The 24,970-nt window shown below is 37.4% G+C and overlaps 1 annotated feature.

Moving 5' to 3' along the window:
• Window positions 1,718-2,218: an enhancer, noted in NCBI's record as "H3K27ac-H3K4me1 hESC enhancer chr4:189579916-189580416 (GRCh37/hg19 assembly coordinates)". NCBI's record gives its function as "activates a minimal SCP1, AML or CMV promoter by ChIP-STARR-seq in naive H9 embryonic stem cells {active_cell/tissue: H9 hESC(naive)}" and the evidence as "EXISTENCE:reporter gene assay evidence [ECO:0000049][PMID:30033119]".

Genomic DNA, 24,970 nt, shown 5'->3' with positions numbered 1-24,970 from the left:
CCTCTGGCATCTGTCTCCCCATGACTAGCATTTGCCAGGGTATAAAGACTCTCTCTGTTTGGCCTCCCTGGGCAACTGTGAAGAGCCTGTCCAGTTTCAGACTGCCTTGGGGGTTGGCTGAGGCTTGATGTTGATTGCGTCAGTGTCCAACTTCTCTCTCTACCCCATCGTATTTTCTTCCCTTCTCCCACAAAAGTTGATTGCCAGAGAATCTGAATGTGCCTGGGATGCAGGGCCAGCTCTCAGCACCCAAGACATCTAAAGATGAAAACCACAGCAATGGCTGTGGTAGAGCAAGGTGGTACCAGGTTTTCTAGAATAACGATAATTTATTATTTCTTGGGTTTGAAATTTCCTGTGTGTAGGTATTAGTGTCAAATAAGTAAAATTTGAATTTCTTTAATGAAAATATAAATTGCTTTTATATGATGAATATAGCTACTCAAAAACACCATATGTTACAGAATTCAAGGATTTTCCTTGCTGACATTTTCTTCGAGGAAAAGCTATCTTTAAATGTATACCATACTTTTAATAAGTGTTTAAAGTTTTATTTAAAATAGCATAACAAAAGGACTTTTTTTTTTTTAGACGGAGTTTTGCTCTTGTTGCCCACCCTGGAGTGCAATGGTGCGATCCTGGCTCACGGCAGCCTCCCGGGTTCAAGCAATTCTCTTGCCTCAGCCTCCCGAGTAGTTGGGATTATAGGCATGCACCACTATGCCCGGCTAATTTTGTCTTTTTAGTAGAGACGGGGTTTCTTTCTCCTTGTTGGTCCGGCTGGTCTCCAACTCCTGACCTCAGGTGATCCGCCCACCTCGGCCTCCCAAAGTGCTGGGATTACAGGTGTGAGCCACCACGCCCGGCCAAGGACATTTTTTTGAAAATTCAAGTTGTCATATTTTAATTAAGATTCCATTTAAAATTAATCATATCTACATTTCTGACCAGAAATGTTTATTTTCTTCTTTTCATCGCATACGAATATGATGTAGTTTTAGTTGGCCAAATTTCTCCTCTTTCAATTAAAAGCACTAGACTTAGAATCTGGCCGCTATGGGAAGTTTGTTTGCTGTCATTTTGTTTTAGTTTTTTCTTCCCCAGAGATATTCTGAAAAGACTTGATATTATTGGTCAAAACCTAATTGCTAATGTTCTGGCCAGTAAATTCAAACCAGGTATATGGTAGATCCAGCTTTGTTCTGTTCTTCATGTAACAAAAGTTCATTGACCAAAAAAAAAAAAAAAAAAACAAAACGGCTAATGTTGGATAATGGTTTTTGCTCAAGGTGTTCCATGTTTTTGGCTGTGGAATCGACTAGAACTTCAGCAGTCGTCCAGGAAAAGCCTGCAGGGCAAGGACTGTGTGTGCGGACCGCTCAGTGGGCAGTTTGGAGCCGCTTTGCCCTGAGTGTCAGGCCCGAGCTGGCGCGAACCTGCAGGAAGCTCCTGCGCTCCAGCGGGGGTGCGCACTGGGGAGGGAGGCAAGAGCCGTCACCCGCGTCTGCTGTCATGGGGACACGCTGCCTAATTTCCCGATTGAACCATGAGCAATAAACCAGATAAAGCCAGGGTGCTCTGGGACGGACACGCCTAAGGAGCTGGCCACCTGCGCGGCTCCCTTGCGTCCTTCCGGAGTCGCATTGAACTCAGACGGCAGATCGCGCGCCCCCACGCGGCGGGGCGGGAAACCTGCTGTCCCCTGCGAAGGAACCACGCGGGGGCGCCGCGCCTGCCCAGCGCCTGCAGCCCGGAAGAAGTCCCCGTGTCCCGGGTCCTGATGCGGGGTCTGAAGCGGAAGCGCGGCCGCAGGGCCCGGGATCCGAAAGGACGAGGAGGAGAGGAAGAGACCCTGGCGCTCAGCTTCAGCTGCCAGCAGTGGCAGCCTCCACCCCAGTGAAACAGAGCGGCCCTGGACGGCAGAAAGCTCAGGTGGAGCACGTTACAGCGATTTTAGCCCATTTGCTCCACTTCTTAATTGACGGCGGTTGGCCGGTTCCTTCCTCATTATACTCAATGAGTTGATATCTCTCACCAAAGCACCCCCGCTTTCTCTCTCTAAATTTCTTCCATTAAGAAACTCAGACTTGTTGCAACCTAGCATTTGTCACATGCCTGCTCTGTGTCTGACAGTGTGCAAGGGAGCGTGAGGATGCAAAATAAGACTGACATGCTTCACCCCTTAGGGAGTCTAGTAATTTTGGAAAGACATGATCCATGAAATCTTTGGAGAAAGATATAAGACAAGATATAATCAAGTGTCACAATGTAGTAGAGGAAGCAAGGGCCACGGCCCGTCAGACAAGGTAGAGATCTGGGCCAGGGACGAAAGAGAAGATGGGGCAGGGAAGGCACCAGGAAGGAAGAATGGGTCTGGATGAGAAAGAAATTACACACAATCCATTTAGGACGTGGGATTTTCATAGAGGCGGGCAATGAGGACCCCAGGATACCCTGTAGACTTCTGTGGGACAGAAGGGAGAGGCTGCCTCTGCAAATCTGGTCACTATGAGTGATGGTTGCTACCTTTAAGGATCGAGGTACATGTATCTGACCACTGAGAAGTCTGCTGGTCACAAAAAAATATCATTAATGAATAATATGGGATGGTCTATCTCACAGGTGAAAAAGCTGAGACAAAGAGATTTTATAAACAGATTGATGCTGCTTACTTTCTTCCCAATTTTATGTACCAAGATTTTTGGTGAGGAATCAGGTATCTTCCCTTATATTTAGCATGCACTAGTTCTTGGCACATTAGAAACAGAAAGAAATAATTAGTTGTGGATAACTGAATGTACACTTTGTAATACACTGAGAGCTATTTACTAAAAAAATTAAATTTTAAGTTCAGGCTTTTATAGAGGCAAGAAGTGTGTAAAAGCAAACATGACACCTCCCACTGCTGTCGTTCCCAGCGCGTCGTCATGTCCGCAGCCAGCACAGGGAAGCCTGTTGTGCTCCCTACGATAAGCAAACAACCAAAGAGTGGTCACTGTCGTTCTAGTCCACAAGCTCAATGGAGGCTTGAGCCACCATTCCTATAATCTGCTGACTCCATAAGAAAATGACTTTATTCCTGATCTTTGCAATAGTGATTATATTATCACTTTCAGATGTGATAATTATATAAGAAATCTATTGTTTTGCTACCGTGACTAAACTAGTGATAGCCTCAGTAAGCTTGTTGATGTTGCTTCTTTTTTTCTTACCTGTTGAGTGTTTTCCACGAAGACAGAAGAAATGAGTGTCACTTCTAGCCTTACAACAACAGCAAAACCCCAAATAAACGGTGAGTTAACAACTTTTCTGGAACCCACCAGAAAGCTGAGCAGGACAACCAACGGTCCTGAAATCTGAGGAGAGAGGAGCCTCCAGGGGGAGATGAAATGCCAGCACTGTTTTACCTGGGCAGATTGAGACCAGTGCGAAGAGCTCAGCACAGGTGACTGGTTGATTGATGGGGACTGAGTGTGCCTTGCTGAGGCAGAGTAAAGCACTAAGGGCCACGTATATAGGGGAAGTCCATATCCTCTTGCAGAATTTTTCTACCTGAATCAGATGAAAATTAAAGAATCTTGAGAAAGTTTGTTTTGTAGTATAGACTGGGGAAAGAAAACTTTAACCACTGTAGGAGAAGCAAGGAATTTCACCAGGATCCTTCCCCCATGTCTCTTGTGAAACCAAAGTTTTTATCTGTGTATATGTGGTGAAATGGGGAGTGGTGGTGCAGGATTCACATGGAACCCAGGCCTACAGCAGCTAGAGGAAAAGTAGGGCACTGAGAAGGCTACCCCCCACCGACACCCAGGGGTTCACTGCCTGCCTAGGACTGAGGCCTATCCAGAACAACAGAAGTTACACCCATCCACACATGCACACTGCCAATGAGCAAGTCTCTAGCAATATGTAACTTACAAGAAGGAGACAAGCCAGGCCCAGTGGCTCATGCCTGTAATGCCAGTGCTTTGGGAAGCCAAGGGAGGAAGCCCACTTGAGCCCAGGAGTTTGAGACCAGCCTTGGCAGCATAGTGAGACCTCATCTCTAAAAAAAAAAAATTAAAAATTAGCTGAGCATGGTGGCATGTGCCTATGGTCCCAGCTACTCAGGATGCTGAGGTGGGAAGATCATTTGAACCTGGGAGGCAGAAGTTGAGATCATGCCACTGCACACTGAAGCCTGGGCCACAGAGCACAAAGTGAAACCCTGTCTCAAAAAAAAAAAAAAAAAAAAAGAAAGAAAGAAAAAGAAAAGAAAAGAAAAAGACCCTCTCTGAGGCATAGGTGCATAGGTCACAGGGAAGACCAAAAGCAAAAGGAAGAGACATAAAAAAAATCCCCTGGCCCCTGGCAAAGCAGCCACAACCCTAAACCCAATATATCTCCAGAGGAAGTTTAAACCTGTGGTACCTAGAGGTGACCGTAGCACAGCAAACCTAAGCCCAGTTCAACTCCTAATTAGATTAATAATTCAACTCTCCACACTAAAGACCTACAAGAAGGAAAGGCATGCTCATTTCTAAGCAGGAAAAAAAACTTCATGTTTACAGTTTTAAAGAAGATGCCCAACTTTCCCCACAAAACTTAAGACACACACAAAATAACAAGAAGAAAACAACACTCTCCCAGGGAGCCAAGCAGGCTTAGCTATGCACAAACCTTGGAAATTTATTAACCTTGATTAACATGTTAAAGGCTGTAATGGAAAAAGCAGACAGCATGCAAGACCAGAAAGGTCATTTCAGCAGAGGGATGAAGATTTAAAAAACAATTGGATGGAAATACTAGAAAAGAAAAACCTAATAGAGATGAAGATTGCCCTGAAGTGATTATTAGTAGACTCCAAACAGCTGAAGAAAGAATTAGTAAAGTTGAAAAGTCTGTAAAAATTACCCAAAATGAAATGCAAATAGAAAACATGGAAACAAACAAACAAGCAAACAAAAACAGAGTACCCATGATCTGTGAGACAACACAGTCTAACATATGTATAATCAAAAGCTCAGAAGGAGAAGGGAGCCAGGCACAGTGGCTCACGCCTGTAATCCTAGCACTTTGGGAGGCTGAGGCAGGTGGATCACCTGAGGTCAGGAATTCAAGGCCAGCCTGGCCAATATGGTGAAACCTTGTCTCTACTAAAAATACAACAAAATTAGCCAAGCATGGTGGTGCGGGCCTGTAATCCCAGCTGTTCGGGAGACTGAGGCAGAAGAATTGCTTGAACCTGTGGAGCAGTGAGCCGAGAGCATGCCAGTGCACTCCAGCGTGGGCAACAGAGTAAGACTCCATCTCAAAAAAAAAAAAAAAAAAAAAAAAAAGGAGAAAGGAAAACAAGGCAGAAGGAATATTTTAAGAACTAAATACCTTTTTTTTTTTAACTTGGAAAGTTAGTTCCTCTAAAGGCTGTATCTCCTTATAAAACTTCACTCCATGTAATCTATTTTTTTTTTCAATGCTTTTCTCTCTGTATGTTCTCTTGGCAAGTGATAAATAACATAAAATCTAAACTACATTTCTAGTTTTGGTGTTAAATACACACCTCTTGCCACTCAGATCTTTTTACAGTGTTTGACAACTAATAATGATTCCTAAAGGAATTCAGTGGAACCCTAATCCTGGGAGATAATCTACTAGAAGAAAAAGTTATTCAGGACAATAAATTTGAAAAATTCTGATTACAATCTCTGTATTAGATTGAACACAAATCAAATGATGAAATGTTCTAAAAAATCTTTACAATAAAAAAAAAAAAGGCTTAATGGTTTTAACCCAGCATTTTCTAAATCTGTTTGACCATACGTATTTCTTTCTTTGGAACATACTACTTATTAAAATTGTGTGAAATTGATGTTAAAATGAATCAATTTTAGGTAATTATAATCAAGGCCTTTGTTCTTTTCTAATTTTCTTTTCCTTTTTTCAGGTTTATTTTGGTCTATACAGACCTTCTATCAACTGGTACCCAGCCATTTCTCAAACCACATCTTGTATTGTTCTCTACTGTACTTGCCATATTTTAGTCACAGGTTTGTTATCCCTTAAACGTTCCAACCTCATTTCCTCCGTAAGAACTTGGCACTTGCTGTTCTTTCGCCTCGGATGTTTTTCTGTTAGATATTTGTATGGTTTATTCTTTCATCTCATTCAGGTCTCTGGCAAACGTTACCCATTCAGACAAGTCCTCATTAGCCACCCTTTCTAAATTACCATCTCACTCTATCATTCTTTATCCCTTTATTTTCTTTACTTTTCTTCATAACATTTATTACTACCTGACATTGTATTTCACATTCTTTGCTTCTCTCTGACTCCTAGAGAAGAATGTAGATTTCATAAGGTCAGGGAATTTTTTTTTTTTTTTTTTTTTTTGAGAGGGAGTGTCACTCTGTCACCTAGACTGTAGTGCAGGGGCGCGATCCCGGCTCACTGCAAGCTCCGCCTCCCGGGTTCACGCCATTCTCCTGCCTCAGGCTCCCGAGTAGCTGGGACTACAGATGCCCACCACCACGCCCGGCTAATTTTTTGTGTTTTTTAGTAGAGACGGGGTTTCACTGTGTTACCCAGGATGGTCTCGATCTCCTGACCTCATGATCCGCCTGCCTCAGCCTCCCAAAGTGCTGGGATTACAGGCGTGAGCCACCGCACCTGGCCAACGTCAGGGAATTTGTTTCTATCTTAAGGACTACACTCTTGATGCCTAGAATTGTAACTGCTGTCATTCTAGAATGACAGGCACTCAATAAAAATGTTTAAACGAATGAAAGACGAATGGATTAGTCTGAACCACCTGTATTGGGTCTGTGTTCTTCTCTAATTTATCCCTAATTGGCCTAGCTAGCCTATGTCATATCAGACTTGTTCAGCTTTCTAAGAGGTGATACACAAATTGAAAAACATTCTTTCTCTTAGTCTTAATTGTTAAAAGATACGTCAGTATAAAGTAAAGACTGCCTGACTTCCACACTATAATTCTATCGGCTACTTCTTTTTTTCTGGATTGGTCTTGCACTAATTTATGTAATGTAGGGGCATCTGAAAATGTACTCTGCTAGTAAAAGATCTTAATGCTATGTAGCTTTGCCTAATTTTTAAGGAAAAAATATATCTTTCTCTGGGTGATTATCTCAGTCTCAAACCATCTTTACCATTACTAAACAATTTTAAGCTACCAGTGCAAAAGAATTTGTGTGCATTTAGAAAATATGAACCTTATGCAAGGAATTCACTATCTTGGAAAGTAATTTTAAAACAACAAAGTGGAAGAACATCGAAATGTATATGACAGAAAAAACTATTTAAAGCTCCATATCAATTATGAGCCTAGATAAACACACAGAGGACATCTATAATACAATATAAAATAGATCTGGTCTTCATCCCATGGTCCCATGTTTCTGGTACAGAGCTGCAAAAACCCTTGGAATTTCCAGCGTGATGGGAAAATTTCTGTTATGTTAATGAGGCAGCTCCTGGTGGGGATGGAGGGTGCCTAGGTGGCTTCAGGATTGGGATTGATACCCAGAAAGGCCAAACTTGTGTTTCGAGAATTGGAACTCTGGACCAGCCTGACCTCTGGGGAAAGCATGGGTGCTGAAGGTTGAATTTAATCACCTGACCAGTGATTTACTCAATCATCCTAGGTGATGAAACCTCAATAAAAGCTCGGGCCATTGAGGCTCAAAGGACCTTCCTGACTGGTGAACCTGTAAGTGAACCAGGATGCTGGCATGCCACGACTTCCCAGGGACGAAAGCTCCTGGGCTCAGGACTCTCCTAGAGCTTGCCCTATTACTTCTTCATGTGGCAGTTTATGTATATTCTTTATAATGAAATGATAATTCTAAGCAGCACTTTCCTGAGTACTGTGAGCCATTTGAGCAAATTTTATAATGAAATGATAATTCTAAGTAGCACTTTCCTGAATACTGTGAGCCATTCTAGCAAATTATTCAATCTAAAGAGATTGTGGGAAGCCCTGAATTTGTAGCTGGCTGGGCAGAAGTGTGGTAGCTTAGGGATACCCAAAGCTGTGGCTGGTGTCTGAAGTGGAAACAGTCCTGTGAACGACTTTGCTCTTAATATGTGGGTCTGTGCTAACTCCAGGCAATAACTGTCAGAATTAAACTGGATTACGGGACACCCAGTTAGTGTCAGCAAATTGATGTCAGAACACAGCATACTAACAGAAAACTTACTTATAAGATATAAATGTTTACACAAGCATTTTGCCTTTCATTCATAATAAAAACTTTTGATCATTCTTATAGTATATTAAATTATTTCTTCTAAAAGTAAAGATCAACCTTTTGTGAATTATTTCCTCATTCAAAAGTAAACTAATATGTTGCATAGACCTAAGGTAATGGAGAAAGTAAATTCTTTGAACTTTAATGAATTATTTATCTTTCCTAAAATTTAAGACCATTCAAAAACTAATTTGTTTTAAACATTTGACTCAATTTTTTAAATATTTTCTTTTATTTCAGCAGTTGAAAATTGTGATATTTAGATTTTTCACTTTCTATTGTTGTTTTAGGGTAACATTTTACAGCAAATAATTCCATGTTTCTCTCTAAAATAATATTGAAAAATTTGAAGAATTGATGGCATCAAACATACATTTCTCATTCTGCTGTTCAATATTTTCCTCTTATTCTTATTTTTATCCTGGCTCCTATACAATAAAGATTCAGTATAGATGGAAAAATAATGCCAAATCCAGAGGTTTAAGGATAAAGGTTTGTTACTCTAGAAGTAAGCAAGGAAAGTTAAAAATTACCATCTCAAATGGAATGACTCAACTAGACATTTGGAAAACAAACAAAAGTTAAAGATAAAAGAAGCTAACTCATTTTTAAAACTAAGCACATGTAAAACCTTGAAATAATGAAAAAGAAAATTCATATTTTTATTTTAAAAATGTATAATTTAAACTATATTTACATAATAAAATCTATATTATATATAACATATATTACACATGTATGCTGTGTAGAAGTGAATGAAAACTGCCCATGAATTTGAGCTGAGGATTTGAGACATTTTGAAATCAACTCTTCCTCAATTACAAAATTCAGCTTTAAGAATAATGAGAGTCAGCATAGTGTGATATTAAAGTGTAAGTTTTGAAATCAAACATTTTGATTTCACATAGATTCAGCTATGTGAATCTGCGCAAGTTACATTTCTCCTCCTTGGCTAAGCCATCTGTAAGAAGGGAGGATGTTATGATAATTGGGGTGCAGATTACTTATCATGCAAAATGGCTAGCTCATCATTGGCACCTGCAAATGTTAGATAATTTGACCTGAATAACCCTAGACTTCGCAGTCTGGGACTATAACTGATGATGTGAGAGAAATGCTTGGAAAAGAAAGCTGGATTTTTTAAATTGTTGTGAACAATGTAATTGATACGTTTTAATCTTTCCATCCATGAAACAAAGAGTGAATGTTTTGCTATTAAGCTGTTTTTTCTAAACTCCACGCCTCTCTGAGCCTGAACCGCACATGCCCATGCTTTACCAGGGTCACGCAAGCAGATGCTGGAAATGTGCTTTGCTCCAACATCACTGTCAATCACGGGAATCTCCATTTCTACTTTGCATTTTTTTCTGGGAGAATCATGTCAAAATTTTGTGGGGAAAGTGAGAGGAAATCTCTAATGTCTAATATACCATTTTTCTGTGCATTCTAATCCATACAATTAAAGAACATGGGAAACCATTGAATTGGGTCTGTAATGGAAACATGGGATTGTCTTTATCCATGTCTGTGGTTCAATGGTTCATCATTATTTGTTATTGAACTGAGTCACAAAGGAAGCTGGATGGAGCCTGAGAAGCAGGCGTATAACGTTAACCTGAATTTAAATAAGAGTCCCTGAAACAATACCCTCTGACATTTCTTAAAGTGTCAGATAATACAGCAAAGTCAATGAAAATGTCCTTTAAAATAGTCACTACCCACTCATTTCAGGGAAAATGCCTGGAGGAGTTGTTATGGCTACTGGTTTTATTTCTGAAAGTCATTGATTTCTTCTTGAAATGATTATTTTTCAAAGACAAACAAAATGTTTGGCACTTGTTTGTGAAATTAAATTTTTCATAGTCTGTGAAACACCTCAAAATCAAATGAAATATTTCTTAGGCTGAGTAGCTTTTCCCATTTCGGAAAGAATGTTAGGCTGCAAAATCTTATGTGATTTCGTTTTCATGGCATTTGCCAAGTTAAGTGAATCTGAATGTGAAAGTCAGTTAATATTAACGATCCTAAGAAACAAACTGAACAAATCTGGATTTAGACTTCCTCTTAATTACTTTGCAATTTATCCTCTTGGCTGGGTTCAACTAAAACCCCGTAAGTGTTGTCAGCACAAAAAATGAAGCTCCCTTCTCTGGCTTAATCTTTCTTAAACTATTCTAACAACTTGGTGTTACAGTTGGGGTTTTTTGAACAATCTTCACAGGCATATAAAATGTATCTTCTAGGCTGGGATCAACAGCTTTGCACCTGCCCGTAACTTTGTAAAGCTTCATAGTCACTTTCTATCTGTAATGAATGGAAAGAGCTATCAGTCTGGCAAGCAACAGCGTGAAGGATATTGGCAATCCAAGCTCACGATGCAATCTGAATTTCAAAGTGCACAAGAACTTTTGACGATGATTTTATTTAATTTTATTTTCCCCAAGTATAGTTTTTTAAATCTATGCCGCACCTTCTGCTTGCTTTATTTATTTATTTATTTATTTATTTATTTATGTAACAGCACAGTCTATGTTTACCTGAGTAAAATAAAATCTTCTACTTGAAAATTGGAATAAATCGAAGTCCCTTGGATTTCAGCCTCTAACTAAGAGAGATTTTGTTCTGCCTACAAAACAGAATATAGCAGAAATGTTGAGCTGCATTGACATAAAAATCTTACTATAACTTTCACATACCTGACTGCCTCACTTTTGTTTCCCTTTCTTCAATATTATAATTTTCTCCCCCTCTGTAAACATATTACTCACAACACAACAGAAAGACATAAATCAGGACTACAAAATGAGACATGAGAGGTCGGGGCACATTAATCACGTGTGGGGCAGGTGATTTAGCAGAAAGTGAGGGGGATTGATGAGGTCTCGGTGCTGTGTGGTGTGGCTGCAAGGCTTCAGGCGAGTCTTTGTATGCTTTTGTGCTCTCCTCTGGCAACGTGTGGATGAGAATGCAAAGACTGGGTGGTTACTCTGAAGAATCGATATGATTATAACTATGTTGGCTGCAATTTATTAAATTTGTATTGTTTGCCGAGAGACTATTATAAATCTTTACATCAATTAATTCTTAGGACATCCATATAAGGTGGCTACTATTATCCCCATTTAACAGATAAGGCAATTGAAGCACAGGGATTCAGCTCCTGTTCCTAGCCACTGTCAAGATTGCTTCTCAAAAATGCACTGGATCAAATGCCACTGGATCAAAATCCATGTTCAATGTTTGTTTTCTTTATGCTTTCACTCCAGAAAGGCCTTGCTGGATTTCTCCCCTCAGTCTATTAGCATTAGATCTTATCCTTTTTTTCCAATCACATCTCTACACAATGGTCCATTCTTCATCGAAAGGAAGCATAAAAATAGCTTCCCCTGGGTCTTTAGGTCTTTATTTTTGAAGGCTCCTATCATGTAAAGCTTAGATTAAACAAAGTTGTCATGCTTGTCTCCTGTTAACTCATCTTTTATTATAGAAGTATTGGCCGTGACCCTTGTGATGGGTGAGGCAAGGCATCACATCCTTTAGCACCTATAATATTCTGTGTTATTTCAGTCTCTTTAGAGTTATTGAAGCTTGTTTTACAGTCCAACAGATGGCCTGTCCTGGAGAATGTGCGTTGAACTTCCTTGAGAAGAATCGGTATTTTGCTCATGTTGAGCAAAGTGCTCCATCAATGTCTGTTAGGTCTAGTTAGTTGACCATGTTGTTAACATCTTCTATTTCTTTTTGATCTTCTCCCTAATCACCATACTCATTGCTGAAATGGATATTAAAAACCCGGCTGTTGAAATGTACATTTTCCCTTCAATTCTGTCAGGTTTTGATTCATGTATTTTGGAACTTGTATATGTGTTTATAATTGTTATGTCTTCCTGATGGATTGACTCTTTTATCATCATGAAATTCTCTTCATTATCTTTAGCTACAAATTTTACCTTCTGGACTATTTTGTCTGACTTTAATATAATCACTTCAGGTTTATTTTGGCTACCGTTTGCTTGTCTTTTTCTATCCTTTTACTTCCTATCTCTGAATCCAAAGTGTGTCTCTTTTAGATAGCATACAGTTGTATCATTTGTAAAAATTTATCTGCTAGTGTCTGCCTTTAAATTGCAGTGTTCAATTCATGTACATTAATATAATTACTGATAAGGTAGAATATGTGTCTACTATTTTGTGGTTTGTTTTCTATGCATCTCATGTCTTTCCTTATATATTTGCTGACATCTTATGTCAATCCCATTGTGGCCCATGGGTGAGATTTATTTATGTATCTCATAGAAAATATGAACATGTCCAAAACTGAATCTATATTGATCTCCATTAGGTTCTCTCTTCAGTGTTTTCTCGTTTAGGAAAAAGTAATAGTATTCATTCACTTATGTATGAAACCTAATTGCCATTGGTTACATTTCCATCTTCTTCACTCACCTCATCTGATGACTCACAAATATCTACATATTCTCCCTATTGAAATCATGCACCTTTCCTGGTCTCTGGCCCACTCTCTCAGGTCTGACCTCTGTCACAGCATGCCAGTTCTCACTCTACATTCCAGACTCAATTCTACAACTAGATTGATATTTCAAAAATGCAAGTATAATTATGTCAGCATAAAAATCTTGGTGGTTTCCCATTGCTCTAAATTTTGCAATCCTTGGCATGCTTTAAGCTACCCGCCTGATGCATTCCCTCCTTTCTGCCAACTCTCTCACCTTGAACCTTGCCCCTGACCTGCAAAGCTTCTTTCCATTATCTGATCACAGCCTCCTCTCACATACAGCTTTTCCCTGAGAAACACTTTTCTTTTCATCTTCTCCTTTATCTAACCAGTTCCCCTCAGTACTTAAGGTTGTTATCTATTAATTATTTTGTACCCCCAAAATAATTTCCTGAAACTTCTATTTGAATTATCTTCTAATATTTACTTTCATAGAATTCTGTGCCCTTTTTATCATACCACTAACATCATTTTTGATAACATTTCTTGTCTCTAGTCCCCAAATAATCTCAAATTTCATGAAAGTATGGACTTTTAAAGTTTTATTTCTTAATATATTTTAGCACATTTTCCAGAACCTAATAGTTACCAAATAAATACTATGAATGGATGAATGAATTAATTAATGCCCTAATTTTCCTGAATATTTCATTTTAAACTTGTCATCCATAAGTTGTTTAACTTTTAAAAAATTCTCTTTAGAATTTCAGTTTGTACTGACTCTTGGAAAAAGAACCAACTCACTCAATTTTTAGATGATGTCTCTAATTGTGATAACATGGATGGAATGCAGTGCACAAACCTGAGTCTACCCTACAACCCCTACAGCTAATTTTTTCTGTTATTATAAAGTCCTATAATGTGTCTTCTCAACTCTCAAACTTTTGAATTTAAGAGTCATCTCAAGATTTGAAAGCCATTTCTAGATGGAATATCAATTGCCAATTCTGCTATTATTCTAGGAGTTAACTTTCTTTAATTCTATTACAACTTTTTAAAAAGTATGGCTTCCCAGTAATTCATGTGAGAAGACATGAGTTTTATACAAAGTACATAACAAACTAAATTTTCGCTGGAGTAATTGTTCTAGTGACATAAAATAAACGTCTTCAATATACAGTGTGCTATAATGCCTATCAAGCCGCAAGCCTGGCAGGTTGAAGACTATTATTCATATACAGGGTGGAACATGCTTCTTGAATGTGTGAGTCTACACTTATTCACGGTGAAACACATGGAGCCTCAAAGCCAAACCTGCAAACTCCCGGGCTTCATTGACTCGACAGCTCACTTTTGAGATGTAGATTTTAACTATTGATAGTTAGAAAACGTAGAATAAAATTTCAATTCTACAAGCCAATCTTTCTGGAAGATGACTACCTGAAAAATCATTTGGGTGATTCATTTAAAATTCAAGTTTATGGGCTTGTATTAAAATGACAGTAGCATGGGCTACCAATGATCAATGTTTTGTAACATTAACAGAGAGAAAGGCTGTTAGACACTGTAGATCTGATACAACACTACTCTTTATGTGTAACTGTAGGATGTAAGATTTATCTTTGAAATAATTTTATTTATAAAAATTTTGCTATAATTAGTTTACACACAATTTTAGCAAATATATCACTTTATTTGAAAAGTAGATGGCTCACGCCTATAATCCCAACACTTTGGGAGGCCGAGGCGGACAGATCACAAGGTCAGGAGATCGAGACCATCCTGGCTAACACAGTGAAACCCCGTCTCTACTAAAAAAATACAAAAAATTGGCTGGGTGTGGTGGCGGGCACCTGTAGTCCCAGGTACTCGGGAGGCTGAGGCTGGAGAATGGCATGAACCCAGGAGGCAGAGCTTGCAGTGAGCTGAGATCTCGCCACGCCACTGTACTCCAGCCTGGGTGACAGAGCGAGACTCCATCTCAAAAAAAAAAATTAAAAAAAAGAAAAGTAGAATGGTGTGTAATATACAAAAGTTAAAGATAAAAGAATATAGATACACTGTATTTCAGCAAAGACTTATTGAGTTTCAAAATATCCCCAAATATGGACTCTAGTACTTGAGAGAAACAGCAGAGGTAGGAAGGTCACTGTGACCTCTCCCTGCTTCTTCTCTCCTGAAAACCCTCATGAGACAAGTGTCTTGCTGTTTAGCCAGAGGGAAGGACTGTCACACAGGGACTCTAGCAAGAATCCGAACAAACAGGCCTTCATAAGTTCCCCCCAGTTTAGTGCCATTAGACCATACCCGTTTGTCCTCCAATCACACTTCTGCACGATTGTCCATAAAAACACACAGTTGTCCCTGGGTTTTCAGGTCTTCATTTCTGAAGGTTCCCATGTCATGTAAAACTTATATTAAACAAAGTTGTATGTTTTCTCTTATTAATTTGTATTTTGTTACAAGGGTTTCAGCTATGAACTCTGTGATGGGTGAGGAAAATATATTGCTTTTTCTCTCCTACAGACTAAACATTTGGCCAAAAATTTATTTGAGATAAATTGCTGTCTTATGAGATTTGTTTACTAGAGCGATATTTTTCATTTAGAATACAATTTGCAGAATCCAGTTTGGAGACATGAATGTAAAAACCCATTGTCATTTACACATTGAGAGCTAGACATATGTGTAAAAACCCATTGTCATTTATACTCGGAAAGCTTTCTTATTGTGTTTTCCAGAAAAACATCACATCAGACAAATTTGGTTTTACAAAACTGAATACCATATTTAACATACTCTATGTTTTAATGTATGTGACTTTATTCATAGTATATATGAATTTGTGCAACACAGGCATGTTACAATAATGTTAAATGTTATAAAACAATTTCTTAATGGTGTAATAATGTGCGTTTATAATTCTGTCTATATAGGGCTCCAGCTTTTAGACCTTTTTATTTTGGTTTATTGAATTTTGAAATTTTACTATTTCTGCTATGGACTAGATGGATATAAAGTACATTGGGGAGAAATTGCAAAAAAAAATATTACTCCTTGTAAAATGTAATACTTGTGTGGCCTCTCAGGTGTAGGAAATACAGTTATTCTAGGTTAGCTTTTCCCCACAGGAAGGTGGACTCTGGAAATAGCAGGGGAGAGTTGGAAATAACTGGTAATAACAATGGATGGGTATGGCATTGTTTTGTAGTAGTTGTGAAAAGGGGTTGTCTTCTCATTTTATAATAAGAGGACACATTCTACATAAGGTTAGTTTGCCCGCACAGGTCTTCTCATTTCATTGACTCCTTTCTTCTGTCGAATACTCAAAATAAATAAACCAAGGATGGGAACTGAGTTCTATATGTCTGCTCCTTCTGTTGGAACAGTGCAGATACTAAACCTTTTGCAATGTAGGACCTAAACCTCTAAGTCTCTTAGGAACACCTTGACTTTCTTTCTTATTGTTGCTGAAAATTATTATAATAAATGTTATTTATCAAATGCTTACAACATATCAAACCTATTTTCTGCATATTATATATAAAATGTCACTTAATCTTCATGAAGAACTTGCAACCTAGGTTCATGTTATTATCTTTAAATGGAGAAGTCAAGACTCAGTGAGGTTGTCACAATCATCATGCCTTTAAGCTAATGAATTATAACACAAGGAGTTAATTTTGGTCTGTCAGACTCTAATGCCAATGATATTTAAAATTATTACCAAAACTATTTTTTTCAAAATTTTGCAACACTGAATTCTACATCAATGATTTTGTATGTTGGTCAAGATAGAAGAGTGACTAGCAGATAATTTCAAGCATTCTGCAGGTTGAAATGTGTTATAAATACACAGGACTGAAAATCGAACATTATCCAGCTGCCATGTGAAGAGTAGCAGCCTGTGGAACTGAGAAACTGAGATTCTAACTCTGTCACAGTCCTCCTCTGCTTCAAAAGTGCAAAGGATGAGTTCATGGACCCTAAAATTCGATTTAGAACTATTATATTAGAATTTTGGATTATATAAATATGAAATAAAATTTTGCTAAAAATACCACAAACACACACGATTTTACATGGCTTTTGATTTTGTCATTGTTTTACAGAATTTTAAATGCTTCTGTAGGAGACAATGGAAAAGTTCCTCTTTGCCCTTTGAAGATTTGCTGAAAAATCAACTCATAGAAGGCAGGCTAATAACAGAAAAGCCATACAAATTTATTAACATGCACAGCATGGAGATTCTTAGGACAATGATTACTCAATAGCCCAATGGGATACAGATGTGTATATGCCCTTCTTTTTATGAGAGGGGAGACAGGAGGAACATGGAAATTTGAGGGCTAGTGATTTTCAGAGGAAAATCAATGGACTTGGAGAACATACAATGGCCTAGGGCACGGTCAGTTTGGCCTAGAAACCAGACAATGGTTTGTGACAAAAATCTGTCCAGCTGTGTTGACAGACTTCAGTCCTTTTTCCTGTGATATGGGAGTTAATGGACCTCAGGGGAGAAACCAGTGGTAACTGCTTTCTTCTTGGGTGGATCTAAGCCTTGGGCAAATGAGGAAACTTCAGAGAACACTCCATCCTCTGCTTTGGGAGAGACAGAGGATTGAGAGTTGGGAAGGTGGCAGGAATTCAGAGAGACCTGAGGCTTCTACTTCAGTTCAACATGTCAAAGCGCTACATTTTGAGGTATCAGTTTCTGACCTCCAACGTTTTACATGTACTGTATATTGATTTATGCTATTTAAACTATTCTGAACATCAGGGAAGTGTTGGCTGAACCATTAATTCCTATGCAAAACAAAACTATCACACCTAACTAGGTTTATCACAAATTTACAAAGAGGAATCAACATAGTCCATTAAATTTCTCTAAAATCCAGGCAATTTACTAATTAATACTTTATCTTTCTAAATTTTATTAGCAACCTGATTCTTAAGACGTGGTAGACAATCGAAAACTATTTTATTACAAGACTATGAGAATTTGATAGAAAAGCTGTCTTCCAATTGAAATAACAAAGAAAACTCTTTCTTTTATTAGCAAGTTAATAAAATGTTCCCTTTTGAAAATATACTTTAGGCTGTGAGTGGCAGCAATTGTTGAAGAGTTCTCTTCTTAGCTATTCAAATGTAATCTACAAGTAGGCAACCCATTGCTGGGGGAGGGAGTTTTAACAGGACTCCCTCTTACAGCATGTGCAAAGTTGGTCCCTATGGAAAAAGAAGGGACATTTCTTTGGGGAAAAGGGTCCAAACTAAGAAAGGGATTATGACTGCAACTACTTTTCCTGTTGATATTCAATGGGCTTCTACTTGTAGTCATGCTTGCGGTTTTCCAAAATCTGTGGCTCCACTTTCCATCATTATCCAGGCATCATCAGGGCAGAAAAAAATGTATGAAACTACACAGAACTGGTCTTCATTAGTGACAACACATAGCTGTTTTAGAAACTTTGCCAATAGTAGACTGACAAGACACTAAAGTTTAGAGACAGTCAGTCCTGACTTCTTTTGGCTAAATAAACCCCGAAGATGTGGTAGCAGATTTTCAAGGAGGGGATACCAGGGTATATCTCCATCTCTGGGGTTCAGGACACACTACCCCAAAATATGGCACCTTGGCATTTGAGAAAACAGCAGAAGCAGGAAGATTACTCGGACCTTCTCCTGCCCTTCTCCAAAGCAGGTTGTATGACTTTCATTCAAAATGTGCCCTTCTATACCTGGAAGAAAAGAGCATCCTTATCTCTGAAGACACAAGGACACAGAGAAGCACATGAACAAATAGGCCTTGCTAAGTTCCCCAAACAGTTGTCCTCCAATCATATTTCTCTACAACTACTCACTCTTCTTCAAACCTAAGCATAACAATGTACAGATTTACCTGTATATTTCAATTTCCATTTATGAAAGCTCCGTGTCATAAAAAACTTACATCAAATACATTTGTATGTGTTTCTCTTAGTAATCTGTCTTTTGCTACAGGGGTCTCAGCCATGAACCTAAGATGGGGGAAAAATATTTCTTTTCTTCTATAATCTCCACCTCTATCTGTATCTATTTATATCTGAAATCTCTATGTAACATATTTCAAAAGAGGTACAATTGATTAATTAGAAAAATAACATTAAAATTTTACTGGATGATGAGATTACAAGTAATGTTTTTTACTGATTTCATTTTCCAAATTTTCTGCAGTAAAGGGATAAGGGTTTTCTTTTTAGTATTTCATTAAGCAAATGAGAGTGAGAGCAAGATAAAGAGAGAAAGTAAGGAGACAGTACGCAGAATACTTAAACAACATAATTAGCTGATCAAGTGAACATGGCGCCTAACAGTTGCATAATATACATTCTTTTTAATAACTCATGAATCATTTAAGAAACTTGGCAAAAGGCATTTCATAAACAAAGTTTGCCAATTGTCAATTGATTTCTATCTCTAGACCAATGACATTGGGTTAAATTTTATAACAGAAAGATAACATACCTCTAAATAATTCACAAAACTTAAAGATTATAATGAAAATTAGAAAGTATTTGAGCTAAGTAATATTTACAATTGACTGTAATTCTAAATATGAAAACGTGATGTGGCTAAAACAATAGAGGAAAATTTATAGCATCAAATGTGTATTATAAAATGTATATTATAAAAGAAGAGATGGCAATAATTATGTATGCAATTTAAGAAATGTGAAAAAGAAACAAAAAGAGGAAAACGATATAACAGGAATCAATTGATCCAGGCATACGAACTGGCTCTGTGAAAAGACTAACAGATTAACAAATGTTTGCTGAAAGCACAAATAATACTAGAAAGTAAAAATAAATAATTATATATGAAGACATCATTGCAATCAACCAACATAATCAATTATAACTGATACATTTGAAATTTTGAGGAAATAGATAAAAGTGTGAAAGATTAGAAAGAAAACAAACTTTCTTTGAATATTATATAATTGTCTGTGTAGAAAATCCAAAGGAATCTATAGACAATTTGTAAAGTAATAATAAGGCTTAGAAAGGCTAGTGAAAATATGTCAATATAAAAAATGTATTCTATAAGTCAACAAATATATATTTTTTAATACTTCATTTTTAATAGAATTGAAAATATGGTCGTATTTAAAAACATGATATGTGATACCTATAAAAATGCTTGTTTATTAAAAGATAGTAGGAAGACCTATTTCTAATAAATGAGAAGATATATCTAGTTCATGGTTTGAAAGAGTTAATGAATAATATTTCAAACTTCTCTAACAGTATCTATAAATTTAATGCACTCAAAATCCAATACGCGTTCAGTGTAAATTTATAAGCCGAATCTGTAATGTATCTCAAAGTATAAACATTCATGAATTATCAAAATCCTCTTGAAGAATGCTAACAAGGTGAGAGGGGCTGCTTTACCAATTATTTGTTATCAATTTATTATAAATAATAAAATTTATAACAGTATGGTAATGAAACATTAACACTCAAATGATAAAAGAGAATAAAGAGCCAAGAAATTACCTCATATAGACAATTGAGGACTGCCATGGTTGTGCAGAACCATAGAAAAACAATGAGCCTTCCAATAAATTGTGATCATACAATTAGAGATAAGACCCAAGAAGAAAAGAAAAGGATGAGAGACAGAGGGATAAAGTGGAAGGACAGGGAGAAGGAGAATGTGGGAGCAAAAAGGAGGGCAAAAGAGAATGGAGGAAAGGAAGGAAGAAAGAAAGGAAAGAAGGAAGGGACAGATGGAGAAAGGGCAAGAGGGAGGGAAAATTGAAGAGTAAACGAAAGAGCTTAGACTCCTGCCTAGTACTACTCACAAAACTCAATTTCAAGGAGACTAAAGACAAAAAAGTGAAAGTATCCTTTCGATCTTGAAGTAGGAAATTCTTTTAAGCATGACGTAAAAGAAAGAACATACTGTAAAGTTAATAAATGAAGTTGAGTATATCGAATTAAAAATTATTGTTTATTAAAGAATATCACAAAGAGAATAAAAGAACAAGATGAACTTGGAAATAATGTAATTGCTTTTGACATAATTTACAAAGGAATGATTTCCAGAATATATAAAGAGATCCTCAAATCTATAAGGAAAAGACAGAAAATGTAATTTTAAAATGGGTAAAAGAAAAGAACAAGAATATTACAACTGAGAGATGGAAATTATAAACGAGAGGATGATTTTTTTAAATGCCAACTCTTTAGTGAACTGGAAAATGTAAAATAAAACCCCAATTACAATCAACTCTCATCAGATGCACTGTGATTAGTCTGACAGGATTAGTCTGGCCGTGTGTTTGAAGCACGGAGGAGAGATGTCCTCAAACACACTGCCAGTCTCCCCTCAAGATGGCTGTCAGATTTTTAGCCACATGAGTAAAATCTCAAGAGCTAAATGAAAAATCCTCCAAAGACAATAATGAATATCCTTCCATCTTTGCTTGGTGGGGTGAGGAGATAGGGAATTGCCAGGCTCTCAATTAAAAAATTCTATGAAAGGCACATTCACAGACTAGAAGCAAACTAGAAATAGACTGAGTGGTGCTGAAATTGCCTCAGGCACAGACCTGATTACATCATAGTGATCAGCTTGTCACCCTATCTTCCTCACACAGGAACGAGGAGAACTTCTAGGGAAAATTAAAATAATCTGCCATCTTTTATATATGTCAGAGGTATAAAATTAAAAATAGCCAATTACCATACATATAAACAGGCAGAAAAATGTGACCAATAATTCAAAGAAAAAAAAACAAAATCAGTAGGTCCATTGACGACAATAGCATTAGAATTACGCCAAGAATTTTAAAATAACTAAAATAATTATTATAAATATGTTAAATAGAGGAGACAAAATAAATGAACAAGGAAGAATTGTGATGTATAAGTGGAATTGTAAGAAAAAATAGATACACTAGAACCAAAAGATATAATAACTGATGTGCATTCAATGCATGAATTAATTGATATAAAGACCCATTGGATAGTTTAACAACAGACTGAACACAACAGAAGACAATATTAATAAACTCTACAGTAGGTCAGTAGAAAATACCAAAACTTAGTACAGAGAATAAAGAATGAAAAGAAGAAAACAACGCACAACAGACATATAAAATATGTGATCGGAATGTCTCATGTATGTGCACTGAAGTTCTAATGATGAAGGACCAAGAGAGTGAAGCAGTAGCAGTATTTGCAGAGATAAAGGCCTTAAAACTGATAAAATACATGTGTTTATGAAGCTCAGCAACTCCCAAGCAAGATAAATACAAATAAAACCACACATAGGCATGTCGTAGTCAAACTGCTGTAATTCAAAAGTAAGGAGAAAAATTGTGAGGACATTCATAGGAAAGAGGCACATCATCTTTTAAGGAGTATTGTTGCCTTGAACAAATTAAATACACAGAAAAGAATGAAATGGTATCTGTAACGTTCAGGAGAAAAATATATTGTCAAACTGAAAGTCTAAATCCTGCTAAAATAACCACCAAAAATGAAGGCCAAATGACAACTTTTTTTAAGAAATTACAAATTGAGAAAATTTAAAGTTTACCAACAGATCTGAATTACCAAGAAATACTACAGGAAATATGCCACGCTGATGGAAAATGATTCAAGATGGAGGGGCAGAACCCTAGCAATGAAGGAAGGACAACTGTGTAGGTAACTTTAAAAGAATACTGACTGTAAGTGGAGTTAAAATGTTGTAGGCCACATACACTTTTTAACAATTGCTAAAACCATTATACTAATTTAGAGTACACTCTATCAAGTCGGAGGTGCATGCCGTAAAGAGCAACCACTAGAATTATAATGTAAACAACTAATAGAAGGGATAAAATGGAAGATTGAGAAGTGGATTAATTCAAAAGAAGGCAATAACAGTAGAATAAAGTAACAATTAGATAGTGCAAATAGATAATAAACTGAAACATTCTCTATATAAATCCCACTCTATCAGCAATGGCATAAAGTATAAGGGTTGGGCTACTCTTGGCACACTGCCTATTGGGTATCCCTGCTCTGCAAGGAGCAGTATATATATAAAAGAAAATAAAAAGTATAAGGGGTGAAAACATTCTACTTGAAGACAAAAGCTATGAGACAGGATACAATATAGGATCCAATTATGCACCATTTATAAGAAACATATTATAAATATATGGACACAGATGGATTGAAAGTAAATTACACACAAAAAAAATTCTATCTAGACACTAACCAAAAGCATGCACATAACACTTTATTAGCATAAATGCTAGGTTATACCAGTGCATGGATGTATGCAAAAAGTTATTGTAAAGATTTGTAAATATGTTCACAAATTCCTTGACACCTTCTCCTTGAAGAATTAGAGCCTAAGTCCCTTTCCCTTGAACATCGGTGGGACGTAGTGGCTTGATTCCAATGAATACGTGTAAGGAACGGCGGGGTGACTACAGGGACTAAGCCATAAAAAGCTTCCCCTTCACTTGTCCTCTATTGAGAGTTTGCCCACTCTGGGGAAAGCCAGATGCCATTAGTGAGGACACTCAAATAACCTTGTGGAGAGGTTCACACAGCAAGGTAACAGCAACCAAGTGACTTCTTCATTTTATAGCCATGAGAGTTCCAGAAGGGGATGCTCCAGCCTCAGTGGAGCCTTGAGATGACTGTGGCCCATGACAGCATTCTACCTGCAGACACAGGAGACCCTGAGCTGGCACTAGTAATATCTGGCTGAGCGACTCAAACCCTGTCCCACAGAAACTGGGGGATAACAAGTGCCCGTTGTTTTAAGCCATAAAGTTCTGCATAAATGTTATACAGATATCAATAACTAAGATATGGGCATTGGGCTATGCATTCAATATCTGTGATACACACACACACACACCCCTTAAATCTTACATAGCACCAAATAACTAAAATCAGCTGAAAACACAATCAGGAAACTGATAAAAGGGGCAACATTTTGGGAAGAAATAAAATTGTTAATATTGTGTTTTTAAAGGCCAGGTACCTAGGTAATGATGACATTGCTAATTCTATTATTCTTCATCATGGATAAATTTTAAATAATTCTGAACATTTCTCCAAGCTGCACAGCCTAATGATGTTCACTAAATGTTGTTGATGGAGAGATCCAGCTAGGGTATTAATTGCTCACTAATAGTTTCTTTTCTATTTTTTTTTTTTTTTTGAGACAGAGTCTTGCTCTGTTGCCCAGGCTGGAGTGCAGTGGCGCCATCTCGGATCACTGCAAGCTCCACCTCCCGGGTTCACGCCATTCTCCTGCCTCAGCCTCCCCGTAGCTGGGACTACAGGCACCTGCCACCACGCCCGGCTAATTTTTTGTATTTTTAGTAGAGACAGGGTTTCACCGTGTTAACCAGGATGGTCTCGATCTCTTGACCTCATGATCTGCCCGCCTTGGCCTCCCAAGGTACTGGGATTACAGGTGTGAGCCACCGCGCCCAGCCAATAGTTTCTTAATAATAGTGAATTATGGGAACATGCCTATTCTATCCAATTAGGGATTTTCTTAAGGGAGACTGTGCCAGAAATTTTTTGAGTACAAATTCATTTTTAGTTTTTAATATATTTGCATTAAAAAGAGACTAGAAATTTAACATATTTTTTGTCAAGTTGTCATGGCTTTTAGAATAAAAAATTATTGGTAATTTTTGGGAAAAAAATTACCATTTTTTGAAAATGCTATTGCCGATCGCAAATCATAAAATTGTTTCTGGCAACAAATGTACAAGCAGAGGAAGTGGTTGAAGGGAATTATATACATAGTATGTCCTTTTTTTCCCTTTTTCCTGTGGTTTAGCAAGTTGTAACAAAACTGCATAAAATTGAATTTAGGAAAGTGTATCTCTATTAAATTGAAATTATATAGAATTATTTTCAGCTGGTCAAGCCATTTTTGGCACACAAAACAACATTTCTAACCGAAAAATAGCAGCAAACGAGCACCTTGCAAATGTTCATAAACACAATCAACAGTTCATTATGATATCAAGTATCACACAGTAAACAGGATCAAAACCAGACACAGTAGATAATTATAGCAGTGAGAATCAGCTTAAGTCCAATCTATCTTCCCTGATGCCAACTCCTTCCTGTTGCTTTTATCACGAGTAAGTAAAAGATGCCATTCTTTCCCTTTCTTCCTTTCCCTTCTAATTGTCACTAATTCTAATGTCACTGTTTTCTAATTCTAGTGAGTCACAGAATGCTGTCAC

This window comes from Homo sapiens, chromosome 4 (assembly GCF_000001405.40).
Source record: "Homo sapiens chromosome 4, GRCh38.p14 Primary Assembly".
Lineage (NCBI taxonomy): Eukaryota > Metazoa > Chordata > Mammalia > Primates > Hominidae > Homo > Homo sapiens.
Note: the sequence above shows the minus strand (reverse complement) of the source record. Positions and strands in the feature narration are given on the sequence as shown.